At 52.7% G+C, this 19,480-nt stretch overlaps 1 protein-coding gene across 12 annotated transcripts in view, besides 1 other annotated feature; it reads left to right on the top strand.

Annotated features, from left to right (window-relative positions):
• Positions 1 to 19,480, top strand: part of ZBTB46 (zinc finger and BTB domain containing 46) — a 90,226-nt gene that overhangs the window by 34,786 nt on the left and 35,960 nt on the right. For all 12 annotated transcript variants that reach the window (XR_936500.3, XR_001754167.2, XM_011528548.3 and 9 more), the window contains exon 2: positions 8,320 to 9,289. Coding sequence is in view for 10 of the 12 variants with exons in the window: in XM_011528548.3 (XP_011526850.1) it covers positions 8,353 to 9,289 (937 nt within the window). In the remaining 2 variants the exon portion in view is untranslated. The remainder of the gene's footprint in view (positions 1 to 8,319; positions 9,290 to 19,480) is intronic.
• Positions 16,711 to 16,770: an enhancer, noted in NCBI's record as "active region_18251". NCBI's record gives its function as "activates an Ori minimal core promoter by ATAC-STARR-seq in GM12878 lymphoblastoid cells {active_cell/tissue: GM12878}" and the evidence as "EXISTENCE:reporter gene assay evidence [ECO:0000049][PMID:35858748]".

The raw sequence follows: 19,480 nt of genomic DNA, 5'->3' as shown, positions 1-19,480 counted from the left end.
GCAGTGAGCCCTGATCATGCCACTGCACTCCAGCCTGGGTGACTGAGTGACACCTTGTCTGAAAACAAAACAGTTTCACCAAAATAATTGTGGAGAGCAGTTCTTAGAGTAGGTGAGTTAAACTTGATCTGGACAGATGGCTGCGGCCACCTTTGTCTTCCCCAGAGCCCTCCTGGCCACTGGCAGTTTGATTCTAGAGCCAAGGGTATCTTGCTTCCACTTTAAAATGGTGATTTATCTGTTAATTACATTTTTTTTTTTTTTTTTAGACAGAGTCTCGCTCTGTCACCCAGGCTGGAGTGCAGTGGCACCATCTTGGCTCACTGCATCCTCTGCCTCCCAGGCTCAGGTGATTCTCCCACCTCAGCCTCCTTAGTAGCTGGGACTCACAGGTGTGCACTACCATGCCCAGCTAATTTTTTTTTTTTTTTTTTTGAGACAGAGTCTAGCTCTGTTGGCCAGGCTGGAGTGCAGTGGCATGATCTTGGCTCACTGCAACCTCCACCTCCCAGGCTCAAGTGATTCTCCTGCCTCAGCCTCCTGAGTAGCTGGGATTACAAGCATGTGCCACCATGCCCGGCTAATTTTTGTATTTTTAGTAGAGACGGGGTTTGACCATGTTGGCCAGGCTGGTCTTGAACTCCTGACCTCAGGTAATCCGCCCACCTCGGCCTCCCAAAGTGCTGAGATTACAGGTGTGAGCCACCACGCGCGGCCAACGCCCAGCTAATTTTTGTATTTTTTGTAAAGACCGGGTTTCCAATAGAACAGAACAGAGCCCTCAGAAATAATACCACACATCTACAACCATCTGATCTTTGACAAACCTGACAAAAATAAGGAATGGGGAAAGGATTCCCTATTTAATAAATGGTGCTGGGAAAACTGGCTAGCCATATGGAGAAAGCTGAAACTGGATCCCTTCCTTACACGTTATACAAAAATTAATTCAAGATGGATTAAAGACTTAAATGTTAGACCTAAAACCATAAAAATCCTAGAAGAAAACCTAGGCAATACCATTCAGGACACAGGCATGGGCAAGGACTTCATGTCTAAAACACCAAAAGCAATGGCAACAAAAGCCAAAATTGATGAATGGGATCTAATTAAAGAGCTTCTGCACAGCAAAAGAAACTACCATCAGAGTGAACAGGCAACCTACAGAATCGGAGGAAATTTTTGCAATCTACTCATGACAAAGGGCGAATATCCAGAATCTACAAAGAACTTAAACAACTTTACAAGAAAAAATCAAACAACCCCATCAAAAAGTGGGCAAAGGATATGAACAGACACTTCTCAAAAGAAGACATTTATGCAGCCAACAGACAGATGAAAAACTGCTCATCATCACTGGCCGTGAGAGAAATGCAAATCAAAACCACAATGAGATACCATCTCACACCAGTTAGAATGGTGATCATTAAAAAGTCAGGAAGCAATAGGTGCTGGAGAGGATGTGGAGAAATAGGAACACTTTCACACTGTTGGTGGGACTGTAAACTAGTTCAACCATTGTGGAAGGCAGTGTGGCAATTCCTCAAGGATCTAGAACTAGAAATACTATTTGACCCAGCCATCCCATTACTGGGTATATACCCAAAGGATTATAAATCATGTTGCTATAAAGACACATGCACACGTATGTTTATTGTGGCACTATTCACGATAGTAAAGACTTGGAACCAACCCAAACATCCATCAATGATAGACCAGATTAAGAAAATGTGGCACATGTACACCATAGAATACTATGCAGCCATAAAAAAGGATGCGTTCATGTCCTTTGTAGGGACATGGATGAAGCTGGAAACCATCATTCTGAGCAAACTATCACAAGGACAGAAAACCAAACACTGCATGTTCTGACTCATAGGTGGGAATTGAACAATGAGAACACTTGGACACAGGGTGGGGAACACACCAGGGCCTGTTGTGGGGTGGGGGGAGGGGGGAGAGATAGCATTAGGAGATATACCTAATGTAAATGACGAGTTAATGGGTGCAGCACACCAACATGGCACATGTGTACGTATGTAACAAACCTGCACGTTGTGCACATGTACCCTTAGAACTTAAAGTATATATAAAAAAACAAAAACAAAAACCGGGTTTCACCATTTTGCCCAGGCTGGACTTGAACTCCTGACCTCAAGTGATCCTCCTGCATCAGCCTCCCAAAGTGTTGGGATTATAGGCCTGAGCCACCGTGCCTGGCCTGTTAGATTACATTTTAAGCAAAATTTTATTTTATTTTATTTTTATTTTATTTTATTTTTTTGAGATGGAGTCTTACTCTTGTTGCCCAGGCTGGAGTGCAATGGTATGATCTCGGCTCACTGCAACCTCCGCCTCGCAGGTTCAAGTGATTCTCCTGCCTCAGCCTCCCAAGTAGTTGGGATTACAGGCGCCTGCCATCACGTCCTGCTAATTTTTGTATTTTAGTAGAGATGGGGTTTCACCATATTGGCCAGGCTGGTCTTGAACTCCTGACCTCAGGTGATCCGCCCGCCTCGGCCTCCCAAAGTGCTGGGATGACAGGCGTGCGCCACCGCACTCGGCCTTAAGCAGAATTTTAAATGAAAGGTTTAAGTGGAGCCTAACGGAAATGCAGGTTTCAAGTCAGAGGCAAAACAGAGAGATCAAGTGTGAATGTGGTAAAACAGTGTGAGTTGATGTTTGAGAGGGTCGTTCTTGCCCGCTGAGTGGTTTGGAATTAGACGCAGGGATGGGCCCTAGGGGAGGAGCCGGAGGCCCGGGACGCCGCGTGCCAGGCGCTGCCAGCAGGGGGCACCCGAGGCCTCCCGCCCTCCCTGCCTTGTGCCCTACGCGGATCGGGCGTCCGGTGGATGCGGCAGACACACTACCGCCTGAATCACGCCTGCTGTTTTACATTTTTATTAGAACAAACAGCCTTCCGGGCAGAGCTCCTTAGGGACGCGGGGAAAAATAACCCCAGTCTGCCCCCTAAATTAATACTTTGAACACACAGTGCAGCAAATGGAGTATATTCATCGCGGTCTTCAGATTTCCTTGGTCTGCGTCCTGCGACACAGGCATCTATCCAGGCTGTGGCCAGGGCACATTCGTCCTCAAATGAGAGGATTGGAGTGAGTGGGAAGTGTGCGTCCTCAACAGCAGCGCGCCTGTTTACAGTCTTCAAAGGCGCTCAATGATGGACACCCGTCACCTTCCGGGAGTCTGTTGGAGAGAGGATTTGGGATGGGCACCGCCACTTCCAAGATGGCCCTAGAGGCTGGGCCGTTCCTATGCGCATTCGGCAGAGGCCACTCTTCCTTCACTCCAGCTGACCCAGGGAGGAGGAGGATAGAAGCCACGTTTGGCGGAGCCTGTTTGCCGGTGGTCATTCTGCTGGGGACACAGGTGCATGACCTTGCTCCCCGGATCCCAGGGAGGATTGGCCGACCTGGTGCCAGCACAGGACGGCACGATGGGTGGGAGCACCCGGGCTTTGGACCTAGAAGCACAGGCTCGCCGCTGAATCCCTCCCAGCTGTGCTGGTTTTGAGGCCCTCAGTTCGTTAGCGTGCACTGTGGAGACCACCTCTCCCTCTCCTGGTGGCTATTGGGGTTTGAAATAGCCCCCAAAAGCACAGTGTGCTGGCGCATTGCCTGCCTGGCAGGACAGGCCCCACGCAGCCCCCCTCACTGCCTGCACAATGTAACTGCACCGCGTCCTGTGCACCTGGGGCAGAGCCTGCACGGTGTAACTGCGCAGCGTCCCGTGCACCTGGTTGTCGGCGGTTGAGGCAGAGCCATGCGTGGGTTTGTGCCCCCAGCACCTGCACGGTGACGCGGCTTGTGAGTTTGGAGCATGGCTTCAGGTTGTTGTGGTCACCAGAGTGGTTATGCTGATGCCCGTTTCATAAGCGATTCTGTTTGAAGGGAAGGATCTTGAGATTCGTGATATATAAGTAAAGCAGATACCAAGAAGCCTCAGAAAAAGCTGAGGCGGTGTTTGGAGGAGACAGCAGAGGCGGCGTCCCTCTGAGGGTCTAGGGTAGCTATTGGGCAACCTGACATCAGTGCAGCCGCGGGTGCCCCTTGGTCCCTGCAGCCCGCAGCACCCACTCTTTGGAGACTTGGCACCTGTGCCCCAGTGTGGATCGGGAGCTCCTCTCTGAAGGGGCACCTCGCGCACGGGGGTGCCACACGGGGACCTGAGATGTACCAAGTGCTTGTGAGCCTTTGCCGCAGCCACAGGTGTGCCCAGCAAACAGGTGTGTGTCCTGTGGATGCAGCTGTCTGCCCACAGGTGTGTCCTGTGGCCAGGGGTGTGTCCGTTAGATCTTGTGCTCCTCCAGGCCAGGGCAGGTGCTTCCCACACAGAATACGGGTTGTGAGCTCAAGTCCGCTGCTTGCGTGTCGAGCCTGAGTAGCCCCGGGTGCTTCTGTTTTGGGGTTGCAGCTGCTCTTCTACCACAGTGGGGTTGACGTGGCCCCACGAGCAGATTTCTGATGCTGAGAGATTATTGAATTTGAAATGTAAATTCAAATATTCTCCTAGAACTTCCCTGTTCTGGGCTTAGAGAGATTATGTGTATTCTTAATATTTCCGTAGCTGACTAATCTCTTTTGAAGATTATCGTTTTTTGTCAGGGTGTGGTGGTTCACGCCTGTAATTCCAGTGCTTTGGGAGGCCGAGGTGGGAAGATCGCTTGAGCCCAAGAGTTTGAGATCAGCCTGGGCAACAAAGCAAGACTCCTGTCACTACAAAAAATGAAAGAGTTAGCCAGGCATTGGGGTGTGCACCTGTGGTCCTAGCTACTTGGGTGGCTGAGGCAAGAGGATTGCTTGAGCCCAGGAGTTGGAGGCTGCCGTGAGCCGAGATCGTGCCACTGCAAAAGATTGTTACTTTTTTCCTTTTAGTGGATAGATAACTTTTTTTTTTTTTTTTGAGACGGAGTCTTGCTCTGTCACCCAGGCTGGATGGAGTGCAGTGGCTCGATCTCAGCTCACTGCAAGCTCCGCCTCCCGGGTTCACGCTATTCTCCTGCCTCAGCCTCCTGAGTAGCTGGGACTACAGGCACTCGCCATCACGCCCAGCAAATTTTTTGTATTTTTAGTAGAGACGGGGTTTCACCGTGTTAGCCAGGATGGTCTCGATCTCCTGACCTCATGATCCACCCGCCTCGGCCTCCCAAAGTGCTGGGATTACAGGCGTGAGCCACCGCGCCTGGCCTGACAGATAACTTTTTTCCCAAATGAAAATTTTATTTATTTATTTTTTTAACTATAAAATCTCTGAGTATATAACTGATTTTAAGCTGCCCTGATTGGATTGAAATACATTATTAAATGTATTTCAGAACTTTTGATTTAAGTTGAACTTATGTGGAGATGTGAACCGTTGTGAGGTAGCCGCTGCTTCTATAAAATCTTACGTGGAGGTGTGGACCGTTGTGAGGTAGCCGCTGCTTCTATAAAATCTCTGGCATTTTTTTTGTTGTTGTTTTCATAGTTCTCCTTAATTCTTACAGGCTCTGTTTTCCTGATGAATAAAGAGACGTTTTATTCACGTAGGAAATTAAATATGATCGGTCAGCTTCCTAGCCTGGATACAGGGTGCCTGGAGCTTTTGACGGTTCCCATCACGTGGCCCGGAGCCAGGTGTCACTTGTGGACCCCCCAGCTTCGGGATTGAATGGTTGTTTTCCTGGGTTTGAAGTGTGTTTTGGTCACTTCCCCGATGCCTAGTTAATCTGGGTGAAGCTGTGCCTGGTGGGACACCTGCCCTGCCCTCCTGGGGCTCTGAGATGCTCTCCGGTCAAGAACCACTGGGCGGCCTCAGCACATGACCCCCTCCCCACAGCCTGCTCCGAATGTCATCTCTTCCTTTTCGGCAGCTCCTTGTTCTGCTCGCACCCACACGCGTTTGCCTCCAGCCCTCAAGCCCGGGGCCAGTGTGGGGCGGGATGGGGCCTTTGTTCTCTGCCGCCGTTGAGGCAGCACCTGGAGTCAGGCGGGGGCCTGGTCTTGGCATCTTGGGGGCTTGAGGCCCTTCCTGTAATGGTCAGCGGTCACCGCCGTCACAGCCCTCGTGCCCGGCGGGCAGGAAGTGAAGGGGAGGCTGGGCCCGGTCTTCTGCAGCGCGTCTCCCGGCAGGCAACACCGGCTGTGGGGGCCTGGGAACCCCACACCATCCAAGGAGGGGATGGCCCAGGACCCTGAAGGCAGAGACAGGCACAAAAGCTTCTCTCTCCTTTCTACCTCATCTTCCCGGCCTGTGAAATGTGAGACAGAATAATTACTTTTCTCAGGACATTTTAGGCTGGGCGTGGTGGCTCACGCCTGTAATCCCAGCACTTTGAGAGGCCGAGGCGGGTGGATCATCTGAGGTCAGGAGTTTGAAACCAGCCTGGCCAAAATGGTGAAACCCCATCTCTCCTAAAAATACAAAAATGTCAGCCAGGCGTGGTGGCGGGTGTCTGTAGTCCCAGCTACTCGGGAGGCTGAGGCAGGAGAATGGCATGAACCTGGGAGCGGAGCTTGCAGTGAGCGGAGATCAAACCACTGCACTCCAGCCTGGGGGACAGAGCGAGACTCCGTCTCAAAAAAAAAAAAAGAAGAAAATATTCTGTCATGACTAAGTGAAGGTGTGTATGTCGTAACCAGTCGGAGCCCAGGAGTGTGTGATACAAAACTGCTGAGCCCCCGACCCCGTCCCCCATGAGGGCTGCATGTGGGGGCTCCTTGCCGGAAGGACATGTAATACTCCCACGCTCGCTTAGTTTTCTCCTATTAAACACATTTAGCATTTCAGGTGAGTCCTACTTGACTTATCAGCTGGAGAATGGGGTTTGTAACGGGAGAGACCCAACCACTGTTTCTTTCCCAGGCAGGGCTGTGGGGTGAACGTGTCCCCTTACGATTTGTCTGTGGAAGTTCTAGCCCCCTAGGACCCCAGAATGTGACCTTATTGGAAACAGGGTCACTGTGGATATGATTAATTAAGATGAGGCCGTGGGGGTGGGCCCCTACTCCCGGACGACTGGTGTCCTTGTGAAAGGGTGACATTTGGACACAGACGTGCACACCGGGAGAAGCCGTGTTGAGACAGAGGCAGAGCTCGTGCGATGCCTCCACACAGAACGCCGGCTGGGGGAGGGGCTGGAACAGGCACCAGCTCGGCCGACATCCTGATTCTGGACTTGAGAATACGTTTCTGTTGTTTGAGCCTCCCAGGCTTGATAGGGCGGCCCCAGCAGACGAGAACAGGCGGAGGACTCACATCCCTGAGTCTAAGGAGAGACAGGAGAGACTCCGGGACGGGGTGTACCCAATTCAGAAATGATTCTGTGTGTCCTGTGACTCTGTGAGGCAGGGCTGTCTTCTGATGAGGGGGACCCAGAGACCAGTCGTGTCTCAGACGTCCAGGGCGCTGGCAGCCGCAGGGCCTGAGCTCCCTCCTGCCCTGTCCCAGTGCTGGGCAGGGACCCAGGCCTAAGCCAGGAAGCCTCCCTCCTCCAGAAGACTTCAGCTCGTTTGAGCTCAGAGTTTTGGAAATTTTCAGGACTAAGGCTATGAATGCTTTAATTCCTTATTCTGTGGTTTTTTGTGTAAGAAGTTTTTTTTTTTTTTTTTTTTTTTTGAGATGGAGTCTCGCCCTGTCGCCCAGGCTGGAGTGCACTGGCGCGATCTCGGCTCACTGCAGGCTCCGCCTCCCGGGTTCACGCCATTCTCCTGCCTCAGCCTCCTGAATAGCTGGGACTACAGGCTCCCGCCACCATGCCCAGCTGCTTTTTTTGTATTTTTAGTAGAGACAGGGTTTCACCATGTTGGCCAGGATGGTCTCGATCTCCTGACCTTGTGCTCCACCCTCCTCGGCCTCCCAGATTGCTGGGATTACAGGCATGAGCCACCGCGCCCAGCCTGGAAGTTTTATTCTTTTTCCTTAAGAATGTTTCTTCAAGCGTGAGGGATGGCCACAGTGTAGGTCATTTAACCGAGTTCTCAGTTTGGGTAAGAGTTGCTCAGCCACGGCTGGGTGTTCTCATCGTTCCTGGGATATGCCAGTTGCCGTATGTGGGATTCTGTTCAGAACCCCATTAGCCTCGAGCACGGAAACACGTGGCAGACGTCCCACCCTGGACGCACTGGTGCCCTCCGGTGTTTGCTGCCCTGCTTCAGGCGGAGACACAGGCCTCCCGCTGCACACCTGTGGATGGGCTCTCGCGTGGGTCGTCCTCCCACTGGCCGCACTCTGTGCCCCATGGCCCTCCTGCGCCCCGCCCGGCGTCCTCTCACGGCCTCTGTCTGTGCTGAGCTTGGGTAACTCTTGTTCTTACCTCCACAGAGTCTGTAGAAGAGGCGACACCAGGGCTTCCAAATGAACAACCGAAAGGAAGATATGGAAATCACGTCCCACTACCGGCACCTGCTGCGGGAGCTCAACGAGCAGAGGCAGCACGGCGTCCTGTGCGACGTCTGCGTGGTCGTGGAGGGCAAGGTCTTCAAGGCGCACAAGAACGTCCTGCTGGGCAGCAGCCGCTACTTCAAGACGCTCTACTGCCAGGTGCAGAAGACGTCGGAGCAGGCCACGGTCACGCACCTGGACATCGTCACGGCCCAGGGCTTCAAGGCCATCATCGACTTCATGTACTCAGCGCACCTGGCGCTCACCAGCAGGAACGTCATCGAGGTGATGTCAGCCGCCAGCTTCCTGCAGATGACGGACATCGTGCAAGCCTGCCACGACTTCATCAAGGCGGCGCTGGACATCAGCATCAAGTCGGACGCCTCAGATGAGCTTGCGGAGTTCGAGATCGGCGCCTCGTCCAGCAGCAGCACGGAAGCTCTCATCTCGGCCGTGATGGCTGGGAGGAGCATCTCCCCGTGGCTGGCACGGCGAACGAGTCCTGCCAATTCTTCCGGAGACTCGGCCATCGCCAGCTGTCACGACGGAGGGAGCAGCTACGGGAAAGAGGATCAGGAGCCCAAGGCCGATGGCCCTGATGATGTTTCTTCACAGCCTCTATGGCCTGGAGACGTGGGCTACGGGCCTCTGCGCATCAAGGAAGAGCAGGTTTCACCGTCTCAGTACGGAGGGAGCGAGCTGCCTTCTGCCAAGGACGGTGCAGTACAGAACTCTTTCTCAGAGCAGAGTGCTGGTGATGCCTGGCAGCCCACGGGCCGAAGGAAGAATCGGAAAAACAAAGAGACCGTCCGGCACATCACACAGCAGGTGGAAGATGACAGCCGGGCCAGCTCCCCGGTGCCGTCCTTCCTGCCGACGTCGGGGTGGCCGTTCAGCAGCCGAGACTCAAGTAAGCCTTTCACTCGTTACGGGGGCTCAGCTGCCCCAGTGTGTCCAGGCCTCACGGCCGCGTGCTGTGCGGAGGCAGTGACGCATGTCCAGGCTCACACTGGTGGCTTTCTAGGGTCACTTCCTCTTACAGGAGGTTGTCGTGACCGCTGGGAATGCAGCCAATGCATCTCAAAGGGCAGGGCATCACCAGGGCCCTTGGAGACCCTGTGTATCTGTCCCCATCAGCACGGCACTGGTGTCACCCACACACGGGGGCTGCCTGGGCTGGGCCCCTCTGAAGCCACAGGGACGTGAGCCGGGGGGTGGGTGACACCGGGAGGGGACCCCTCAGCCCTGGTGAGGGCGTGGCCTGCAGGGTCGGCTTCCCCTGGCCTGTGGGACCCTCCCATGAGCCCTGACTGGGGTAACTCGACTGGCCGCTTGCCAGGGTGGCCTTCAGCTCCAGGCTTTTCATCCTGGACTTCTGCCTTTGGTCACTGTTGCTATAGTGAATGTTGAATGGAAACACCATGTGAATGTACTTTGTCCTTGGTGGCTCAGCTTGCCTTGACCTGGGGACCTGAGAGGTTACAGCCAAGAAGCAGCCTTTCCCGGCAAGTGGATTTTGTGTCTGCTGACACCTGTGGGTTCTGCTGTTGAAGCCAACAGGCGATGTTTGTTTCCTCTCTTTTCTCTTTTTCTTTTTTTTTTTGAGACAGTCTCAGCCAGGTGTGGTGGCTCACGCCTGTAATCCCAGCACTTTGAGAGGCTGAGGTGGGTGGATCACCTGAGGTCGGGAGTTCAAGACCAGCCTGACCAACATGGAGAACCCCGTCTCTACTAAAAATACAGAAAAGTAGCCTGTAATCCCAGCTACTTGGGAGGCTGAGGCAGGAGAATCGCTTGAACCTGGGAGGCGGAGGTTGTGGTGAGCCGAGATCGCGCCATTGCACTCCAACCTGGGCAACAAGAGCGAAACTCCATCTCAAAAAAAAAAAAAAAAGAGACAGTCTCACCGTGTTGCCCAGGCTGGAGTGCAGTGACGTGATCTCGGCTCACTGCAACCTCTGTCTCCCGGATTCAAGTGATTCTCCTGCCACAGCCTCCGATTAGCTGGGGATTACAGGCACGTGCCACCACGCCCAGATAATTTGTGTATTTTCAGTAGAGACAGGGTTTCACCATGTTGGCCAGGATGGTCTCGAACTCCTGACTTCAGGTGATCCACCCACCTCAGCCTCCCAAAGTGCTGGGATTCCAGGTGTGAGCCACCGCGCCTGGCTGATGTTTTTTCTTACACCTCATGATACAGGGTCTCCCCTTGGGTCCTGCCTATTACTCACTGCAAAGGGGCTCTGAGCTTAGCTCTGTTGAAGCTGGACGTCACCACCTGAATGGTTGTCCCTTATGTGTCTTCCATATTTGTAAATAATAAATTAAATGTTTGCTGAATACTGGCCACCATTCATGGTGCTGGGCATGTGATATTAATAATAATTGTGGGGATTTGGCCTCTGCTCTTTTCCCCAGGCTGTGGCCCAAGTCAAGGAAGGATATTTGGAGTTGGGTGTGGTGTTGCCTGTGCCTGTACTTCAGCTACTTGGGAGGCTGAGGCGGGAGGATGGCTTGAGCCCAAGATGTCCAGGCTGCAGTGAGCCGTGATTGCACTGCTGCCCTCCAGCCTGGACGACAGAGCCAGACCCTGTCTCTTAATTAAAGGAAAGAAGAAATGGAGGTGTCCTAGCAGGTGCTGCCCGTGGGGAGGTTCCTCCAGGATGAAGCCTGGAAATGAACGTGGGAGGGCGTGAGTGGACAGAGGAGGACGAAAGACAGCAAGCCGCAGGGTGGGAGGCCCTGAAAAATGTCGCAGATGCCGTGTGTGGGTGGCGCAGTGGGAGACGCTGCCTGCCCCCCTGGCTGGAGGGCTTCCTGGGCAGGGCGGGTGTGGCCTCTTCTCCTGACCCTGGTCCCTCCTCTCCGTCGCTGAGAGATCTGCGAGAGCCGGGAGTGAACACAGCTCGATAATACGTTAACTTTTATCATTGTGGTAGAACATACATAATGTAAACCTTACCATTTTAACCATTTTCAAATGTACATTTCACTGGCATTAAAGTCACGCGTTGCTTGATGACAGGGATAGGTTCCAAGAAACGCATCGCTAGGCGATTCTGTTGCTCTGGGAGCGTCATGGAGCGCCCGTCACAAAACTAGAAAGTGCAGCCGGTTATAGGCCCAGCACAAACCTGCCAGTGTTAGTTACGGTGCTGAGCACTGCAGGCAGCTGTGGCACCATGGGAAGTGTTTGTGTGTCTAAACATAGAAAGGGTGCTGTAAAAATAGGGTATACAAGATAACGGCATGCCTGGGTAGGGCCCCTGCCATGCACAGAGCTTGCTGCACTGCAGGTTGCCCTGGGTGAGCGAGTGCTGAGGGAACATGAAGGCTGAGGACAGAACTGTGCACTGCTGCAGACTTTATAAACACTTGGCGTGGCCTACACTAAACTGATTTTTTAAAGTTGTGCTAGGATGTGGCGATGGCTAGGATGGCGATGGCTAGGATGGCGATGGCTATTCCTGTCACGCCACCAGGTGACAGGAATTTCCCGGCTGCGTTCTAATCTACGGGACCACAGTGGTTATCTGTGGTCCATCCCTGACCAAAATGCCCTTCTGTGGCGCATGAAGTTCTGCGATCACAACTTTTCCATCATCCCAAAGGGAAACTGTATCCGTCATACAGTACCTTCCTCTTGCCTCTACCCCACCTGCGGGTAAATGCTGTTCTACTTTGACACAATGTAGATTTTATTCATTCTCATCTGTTGTTGCTGTGCGTCCTGCACTGAGCTACGGCCAGACCCTGGATGTTCAGTAAAAGTTGGTGACCACGTGCAGTCGCTCAGGCCCAAAATCCCTTTTGGAGGCAATTTGGGAGGCCGAGGCATGAGGATCCCTTGAGGCCAGGAGTTTGGGACTATCCTGGGCAAAGTAGTGAAATCCCATTTCTAATACAAAAGTTATCCGAGGCCGGGCGGGGTGGCTCACGCCTGTAATTCCAGCACTTTGGGAGGCCAAGGCGGGCGGATCACAAGGTCAGGAGATCGAGACCATCGTGGCCAACATGGTGAAACCCCGTCTCTACTAAATATACAAAAGTTAGCTGGGCGTGGTGGTGCGCGCCTGTAGTCCCAGCTGCTCAGGAAGCTGAGGCAGGAGAATCTCTTGAACCAGGGAGGCGGAGGTTGCGGTGAGCTGAGATCGCGCCACTGCACTCCAGCCTGGAGACAGGGTTGAGACCCTGTCTCAAAACAAAACAAAACAAATCAAAAAACCTCAAAACAAACAAAAAACAGCAGTTGGTTTAACTCAGCCTCGGGCTGAGTTGTGCTCCATCGTGAGGCTGTCCTGGGTACTGCAGGATGTTAGCAGCAGCCGTGGCCTCCACCCACAGATGCCAGGAGCACCTGCCTTTGGATCCCCCGTTGGTACAACCAAAAATGTCTCCAGACATTAGCAGTTGGGAAAATCGTTTCTCTATGTGCTGCTGTGCGTGTGGAGAGTGTACAGGCAGCAGGTCAGGGCCAGTGGCCTTTCCATCTGCTTGTAACTGTTTATAATCTTCCACTAGCTCCAACTAAAATCTGAGAAGCAGTGGTCCCTGGCAAGAGACACGGCTTTGGGGGGTTTATTCTGATGTTTACAGATGCGCTGCAGGGTCCGTTGTCAGCACAGCGAGGCCCCTCCCAGTGGTCCCAGGCCACCTCCCTGTGCGTGCACGTAACTCGCTGGCAGGTGCCCGTGCTGGAGGCCTTTGTATTATGAGAGTCGATGCAGGCACTGAGAAATAGTGCACTCCTTAAGCCTGTGGGCTGAATGCTTTAAATGCAGTTGTCGAGCAGAAGGTGTTTTTAGAATCCAACAAGTGATTTTGGCTGTGTACTTTTGTTAGAGTCTTAAATCCCTTGGGTTTCCAAGGCAACTGTGAAACTCTTCCATTAGATTATTCCGAGTTGCTAAGATGAGGACACAAGGCTGTGAGCTGTGTGAGGATGGAGGATGGTTCTGCCCACGCTGTGGCGGCCAGTGACTCCCTGAGCTGCGTCCTCCGTCTGAGCCCTCAGGCTGGGATTTGGAAGCTTGGGGTTTGGAAGTAGATCATGATCCCATGGAGGTCAGTTTGTTTCCATTAAAGATTTATTCTATCTTAGAGAAGAGGATTTTTAATTTTCATCCCATTTATAGAAGCAAAGGCCCTTTTTTAAATTTTTTTTATTTTTGAGACAGAGCGTCACTGTCACCCAGGCTGGAGTGCGGTGGTGTGATCTCGACTCACTGCAGCCTCCGCTTCCTGGGTTCAAGTGATTCTCCTGCCTCAGCCTCCGAGTAGCTGGGATTACAGGCTCCCGTGACCACGCCCGGCTAATTTCTGTATTTTTAGTAGAGACGGGGTTTCACCATATTGGCCAGGCTTGTCTCGAACTCCTGACCTCAAGCGGTCCGCCCGCCTCAGCCTCCCAAAGTGCTGGGATTACAGGCGTGAGCCAGTGTGCCGGGCCACAAAGTCCCTTTTCCTTCTTTCTTTTTCTTTTCTTTTCTTTTTTTTTTTTTTTGAGTCTCGCTCTGTTGCCGGGCTGGAGTGCAGTGGTGCAATCTCAGCTCACCGCAACCTCCACCTCCCAGGTTCACATCATTCTCCTGCCTCAGCCTCCCGAGTAGCTGGGACTACAGGTGCCCACCACCACGCCCGGCTAATTTTTGTATTTTTAGTAGAGACGGGGTTTCACCATGTTGGCCAGGACGGTCTCGATCTCTTGACCTCGTGATCCGCCTGCCTCGGCCTCCCAAAGTGCTGGGATGACAGGCGTGAGCCACCACGCCCGGCCACAAAGTCTCTTTTCTAAGGACACATGTCAAGTGGTCACCGTGGATCATTCGACGCCGATGCCCCAACCCCTCTGTGCATCATCCCGGCCCCTGGTGACCCTGAGGCCTGTTTGCTTTTAAGAGTGATTTTCTAGGCAGGGAGGCCAAATTCATTCTAACTGAGCAGCTTCCAAGAAACAGTATCCCTTGAAATTTATTTCTGAGTTACAGCAGTTCACTTCTATGAGAGCTTGTGGGAAATAGCATTAAAATGTTCAGATTCATGTTTGCAGCTATGGGGCAGGCAGGCAGGCCCGTGCCTCCCCAGGCCCTGGCGTCTCCTTCTCATCTGCGGAGGGAGCACAGTAAGGACCTGAGAGGTGACTGGTGAGGCCTTGACAAAGTGGATGTGTAGCTACTGCATGAGAAGATGGTAAAGAAACAGCCCAGGTGCCCCAACTAAATGGCCCCACACATGCCTAAGCGGTGCTGCTACAGGAGGATCTGTGTGTTCTGTGAAGTGTGTACTTGAACCCTGGTGAGGTGGGAGCTTGACATGTTGGGATTTTTAAGCGTACATCAGAACTGCGGGAGCTCCAGATGGGGGACAATGGCCTCTCGGGTGCCTAGCACTGCCTGCAAGCCTCCTGTCTGCTCCGGGAGGGGAGTGAGGGTCCCAGCTCTCAGGGTAGGGTGGTCTTCGAGCTGCTTCTTGGACCAGGCCGGCCTGCCTCCGGCGGGTCTCAGGGTTTCTCTCCCTTGTGCTGACAGCAGCTCCTCACCGCCCCCAGAGCTCTTTGCTGGGGATAAAGCAGGAACTGGTGAGCGGAGGGGGCCGTGGCTGTGTCCCCTTCTGGTGTTCCCTCTTTCTCTCCACGAAGGTTGGGGAGGAGGACCCCCACCACGGTCTCAGCCGTCCTGATCACACGAGGGCAGGGAGTTACCTCTGAGGTTACGTCCCTGCAGGGACTCCTGTCCTGAGTGTGCGTGGCATCTCGGCCCTCCTGGTGCCCGACGGAATGTGAGGTTCCCCCACCTGGCCTCCTGAACAATGTTTCGCCTCCTGAACACCTTTCACAGCCTGTTTCAGCAGCACGGCAGATCTGATTGTTCTGTTGAAGAAAATTTCCTGCACTTGGGATGGTCTTTTTATTTTTTGGGTGGAAGGGTTTCAACCAAAAGATGACATCATGTGCTTTGGTCAGTAGTGGGGTGGGAAGGGCGTCCGGCTCCGCACCCCGATCCCACAGCTGCTCGGGAGATGCTTGGCTTGGCCTCTTTTAATCCACTCCCCTGTTCAGTCCTGTCCTGGGAAGCTTGAGAACTCAGCTGCGCCTTCTCTAGATGTTTTTGCTTTCAGGTATGAACAGAATTACCTGCAATCAGCTTTGATCACATTACAGTCTGTTGGGGAGCAGCTGGTGACGGGGACAGAGACAATAACACCCTTCACAGGAACGTGCTGTTTTTTGTTTTTGTTTTATTTTTAAAAAAATTCTGCACTCGGCACTGGACAGAGTATTTTTTGTTTTTGTTTTTGTTTTGAGACGGAGTCTCGCTCGGTCGCCAGGCTGGAGTGCAATGGCGCGATCTCGGCTCACTGCAATCTCTGCCTCTCGGGTTCAAGTGATTCTCCTGCCTCAGCCTCCCGAGTAGCTGGGACTACAGGCACGTGCCACCACGCCCAGCTGATATTTTGTATTTTTAGTAGAGACGGGGTTTTGCCATGTTGGCCAGGCTGGTCTCAATCTCTTGAACTTGTGATCCACCCACCTCAGCCTCCCAAAGTGCTGGGATTACAGGCATGAACCACCACGCCCAGCTGTGTTTTTTGTTTTTTTTAAGACAAGGTCTCACTCTCTTGCCCAGGCTGGAGTGCAGTGGTACAATCTCGGCTCACGGCAGCCTCAACCTCCTGGGCTCAGGTGATCCTCCCACCTCAGCCTCCTGAGTAGCTGGGACTATGGGCGTGCGCCACCACGCCTGGCTAATTTTTAAAAATGTTTTTTATAGAGATGTAGATCTCACTATGACGGGAGACGGGATCTCACTATGTTGCCCAGGCCAGTCTCAAACTCCTGGGCTTAGCGATCCTCCCGCCTGGGCCTCCCATGGTGCTGGGATCACAGGTGTGAGCCACTGCCTGGCCAACTGAACTTTTAACGCAGCCACTCGGCAGGGTGTCCTTGCATCTCTGGCTTTGCTCCTTGTCCTGGTGTGGGAGGGACTCACGGCCGCAGCCAGCAGCAACACTGCTCCTCACCTGTGGGTGTGGGGCGTGGGTCGTGGGGCATGGGGCGTGGCTGCAGCCTGTTCTGTGGTTGTCTGGATGTGGGCGTTTGGGTGTCAGGCTCAGGGCTGTGAGGCTCTCCTGCAGGTGTCTTTTGTGGCTTTTGTGCTTTTGGCAAGCACCTGGCTCCTGATGGCTGCTGTAATAAATGACCAGACTTATTGTCAGAGCAATGCACGTTTTGTCTCACGGTTCTCTGAAGTCTGAAGCAGCCGGCAGGGCTGCATCCCCTGGAGCTCCAGGGGAGTCCATGTGCCTCTTCTGGCTTCTGGAAGCCATAGCATCCTTGGCTCGTGGCCCGACATCATTCCTGCCCCTTCCCATCCTCGCTTCTGTCACCCTCCTGCCTCCTTCTCTGCTGACGGGGCCCTGGTGGGTCCGTTTAGGGCCCACGTGGCTCATCCAGGACTCATCGTGAGATCCTGAACCGAATCAGGTCTGCGGAGTCGTTCTGCCACAAGGTGGCAAAACCACGGCTCGGGGGTTGCAGCCTGGGCGTCTCTGCAGGAGTCATTGGCTCACCACTGGGGGTTTGCATACAGTAGCCGGGGATTTTGGTGAAAATCGCCACGCCTCTTTTCTTTTTTTTTTTTTTGAGACGGAGTCTTGCTCTTTCACCCAGGCCTGAGTGCAGTGGCGCCATCTCGGCTCACTGCAAGCTCCGCCTCCCCGGTTCATGCCATTCTCCTGCCTCAGCCTCCTGAGTAGCTGAGACTACAGGCACCCACCACCACGCCTGGCTAATTTTTTTTGTATTTTTAGTAGAGACGAGGTTTCACCGTGTTAGTCAGGATGGTCTCGATCTCCTGACCTTGTGATCTGCCCACCTCAGCCTCCTAAAGTGCTGGGATTACAGGCGTGAGCCACCGCGCCCGGCCTCTATTTTTTTTTTGACAGAGTCTCGCTCTGTTGTCCAGGCTGGAGTGCAATGGCACGATCTTGGCTCACTACAACCTCTGCCTCCTAGGTTCAAGCAATTCTCCTGCCTCAGCCTCCCGAGTACCTGGGATTACAATCACCCAGCACCACCCCTGGCTGATTTTTTGTATTTTTAGTAGAGACGGGGTTTGGCCGTGTTGGCCAGGCTGGTCTCGAACTCCTGACCTCAGGTGATCCGCCTGCCTCGGCCTCCTACAGTGCTGGCATGACAGACGTGAGACGCCACACCTGGCTTCTCTATGGTCTTTGATTTGCATTTCTTTGATGGCGGATGATGCCATTCATATATCTTTTTTGGTAAAGTGTCTGTCCAGGTCTTTTTGCCGTGTTTCGATTGGGCTGTCTACGTGGTGACCGTGAGGCTCTGGCCGAGTGAGTGTCGTGGCTCAGCTGGCGGTGATGAGCATCGGGCACCTGCTCCACATCTGGGTCTCTTCCTTGGGGAAGTGTCTGTTCAGATCTTCTGCCCATCTTTTATTACTGAGTGGTGAGAGTTCCTAGGTGTTCTCGTTCCAAGTCCTTCATCAAGTATGTGCTTTGAAAATATTTTCTCTTGGCCTTTGGCTCCTTTTTTCTTTCTTTTTTTTTTTTTTTTTTTTTTTGAGGCAGAGTCTTGCTCTGCCACCCAGGCTGGAGTGCAGTGGCACCATCTTGGCTCACTGCAAACTCTGCCTCCTGGGTTCACGCCATTCTCTTGCCTCAGCCTCCTGAATAGCTGGGATTACAGGCACCCGCCACCGCGCCCAGCTAATTTTTGTATTTTTTTTTTTTTTTTTAGTAGAGATGGGGTTTCACCATGTTGGTCAGGCTGGTCTTGAACTCCTGACCTCATGATCCACCCGCCTTGGCCTCCCAAAATGTTGGGATTACAGGCGTGAGCCACTGTGCATGGCCTCCTTTTTTCATTTAACAGTGTCTCTTCAGGAGGATCCTTTTTTTTTGAGACGGAGTATCATTCTGTCGCCCAGGCTGGAGTGCAGTGGTGCAATCTCGGCTCACTGCAAGCTCTGCCTCCTGGGTTCACACCATTCTCCTGCCTCAGCCTCCCGAGTAGCTGGGACTACAGGCGCCCGCCACCACGCCCGGCTCATTTTTTGTATTTTTAGTAGAGACGGGGTTTCACCATGTTAGCCAGGATGGTCTTGAACTCCTGACCTCGTGATCCGCCCGCCTCAGCCTCCGAGAGTGCTGGGATTACAGGCATGAGCCACCGTGCCCAGCCAACAAAGACTTTCTCCTATGGTTTTTCTTGAGTTTTTATCAATTTAAGTATAACGCATAGCTCCATGATTCAAGTTGGTTTTTTTGTATGTGGCGTGAGATCAGCTTGAGGTTCACTTTTTACATAGGATTATAAGGTTGTTCCAGTGCTGCTTGCTAAGAAACCTGTCTTTTATCCATTGAGTTACCTTGCTAACTACTATATACATAAAATTAATGAGAATTTCTTTTATCTGTCTTTTTTTTTTTTGAGATGGAGTTTCACTCTTGTTGCCCAGGCTGGAGTGCAATGGTGTGATCTCGGCTCACCGCAACCTCTGTCTCCCTGGTTCAAGCGATTTTCCTGCCTCAGCTTGCCGAGTAGCTGAGATTACAAGCACGCACCGCCATGCCTAGCTAATGTTTTGTATTTTAGTAGAGACGGGGTTTCACCGGGCTGGCCAGGCTAGTCTCAAACTCCTGACTTCATGATCCACCCATCTCGGCCTCCCAAAATGCTGGGATTACAGGCATGAGACACTGTGCCTGGCGGAAACCCAAATTTTAGCATTTCACACAAGGGAGAGTTCTTTCAGCTTATCCTGATTTCTTTTATGTGTTTTTCACCTTGATTTGTTACAATAATTTAGATTTAAAATTTGGCTTTAAAATTGGGTGATTTTGGCCAGGCATGGTGGCTCATGCTTGTAATCCCAGCACTTTGGGAGTCTGAGGTGGGCAGATCACCTGAGGTTGGGAGTTTGAGACCAGCCTGACCAATGTGGTGAAACCCCGTCTCTACTAAAAATACAAAAATTAGCGGCCGGGCGCGGTGGCTCACAGGCCTGTAATCCCAGCACTCTCGGAGGCTGAGGGGGGCGAATCACGAGGTCAAGAGATCGAGACCATCTTG

This window comes from Homo sapiens, chromosome 20 (assembly GCF_000001405.40).
Source record: "Homo sapiens chromosome 20, GRCh38.p14 Primary Assembly".
Classification (NCBI taxonomy): Eukaryota; Metazoa; Chordata; class Mammalia; order Primates; family Hominidae; genus Homo; species Homo sapiens.
Note: the sequence above shows the minus strand (reverse complement) of the source record. Positions and strands in the feature narration are given on the sequence as shown.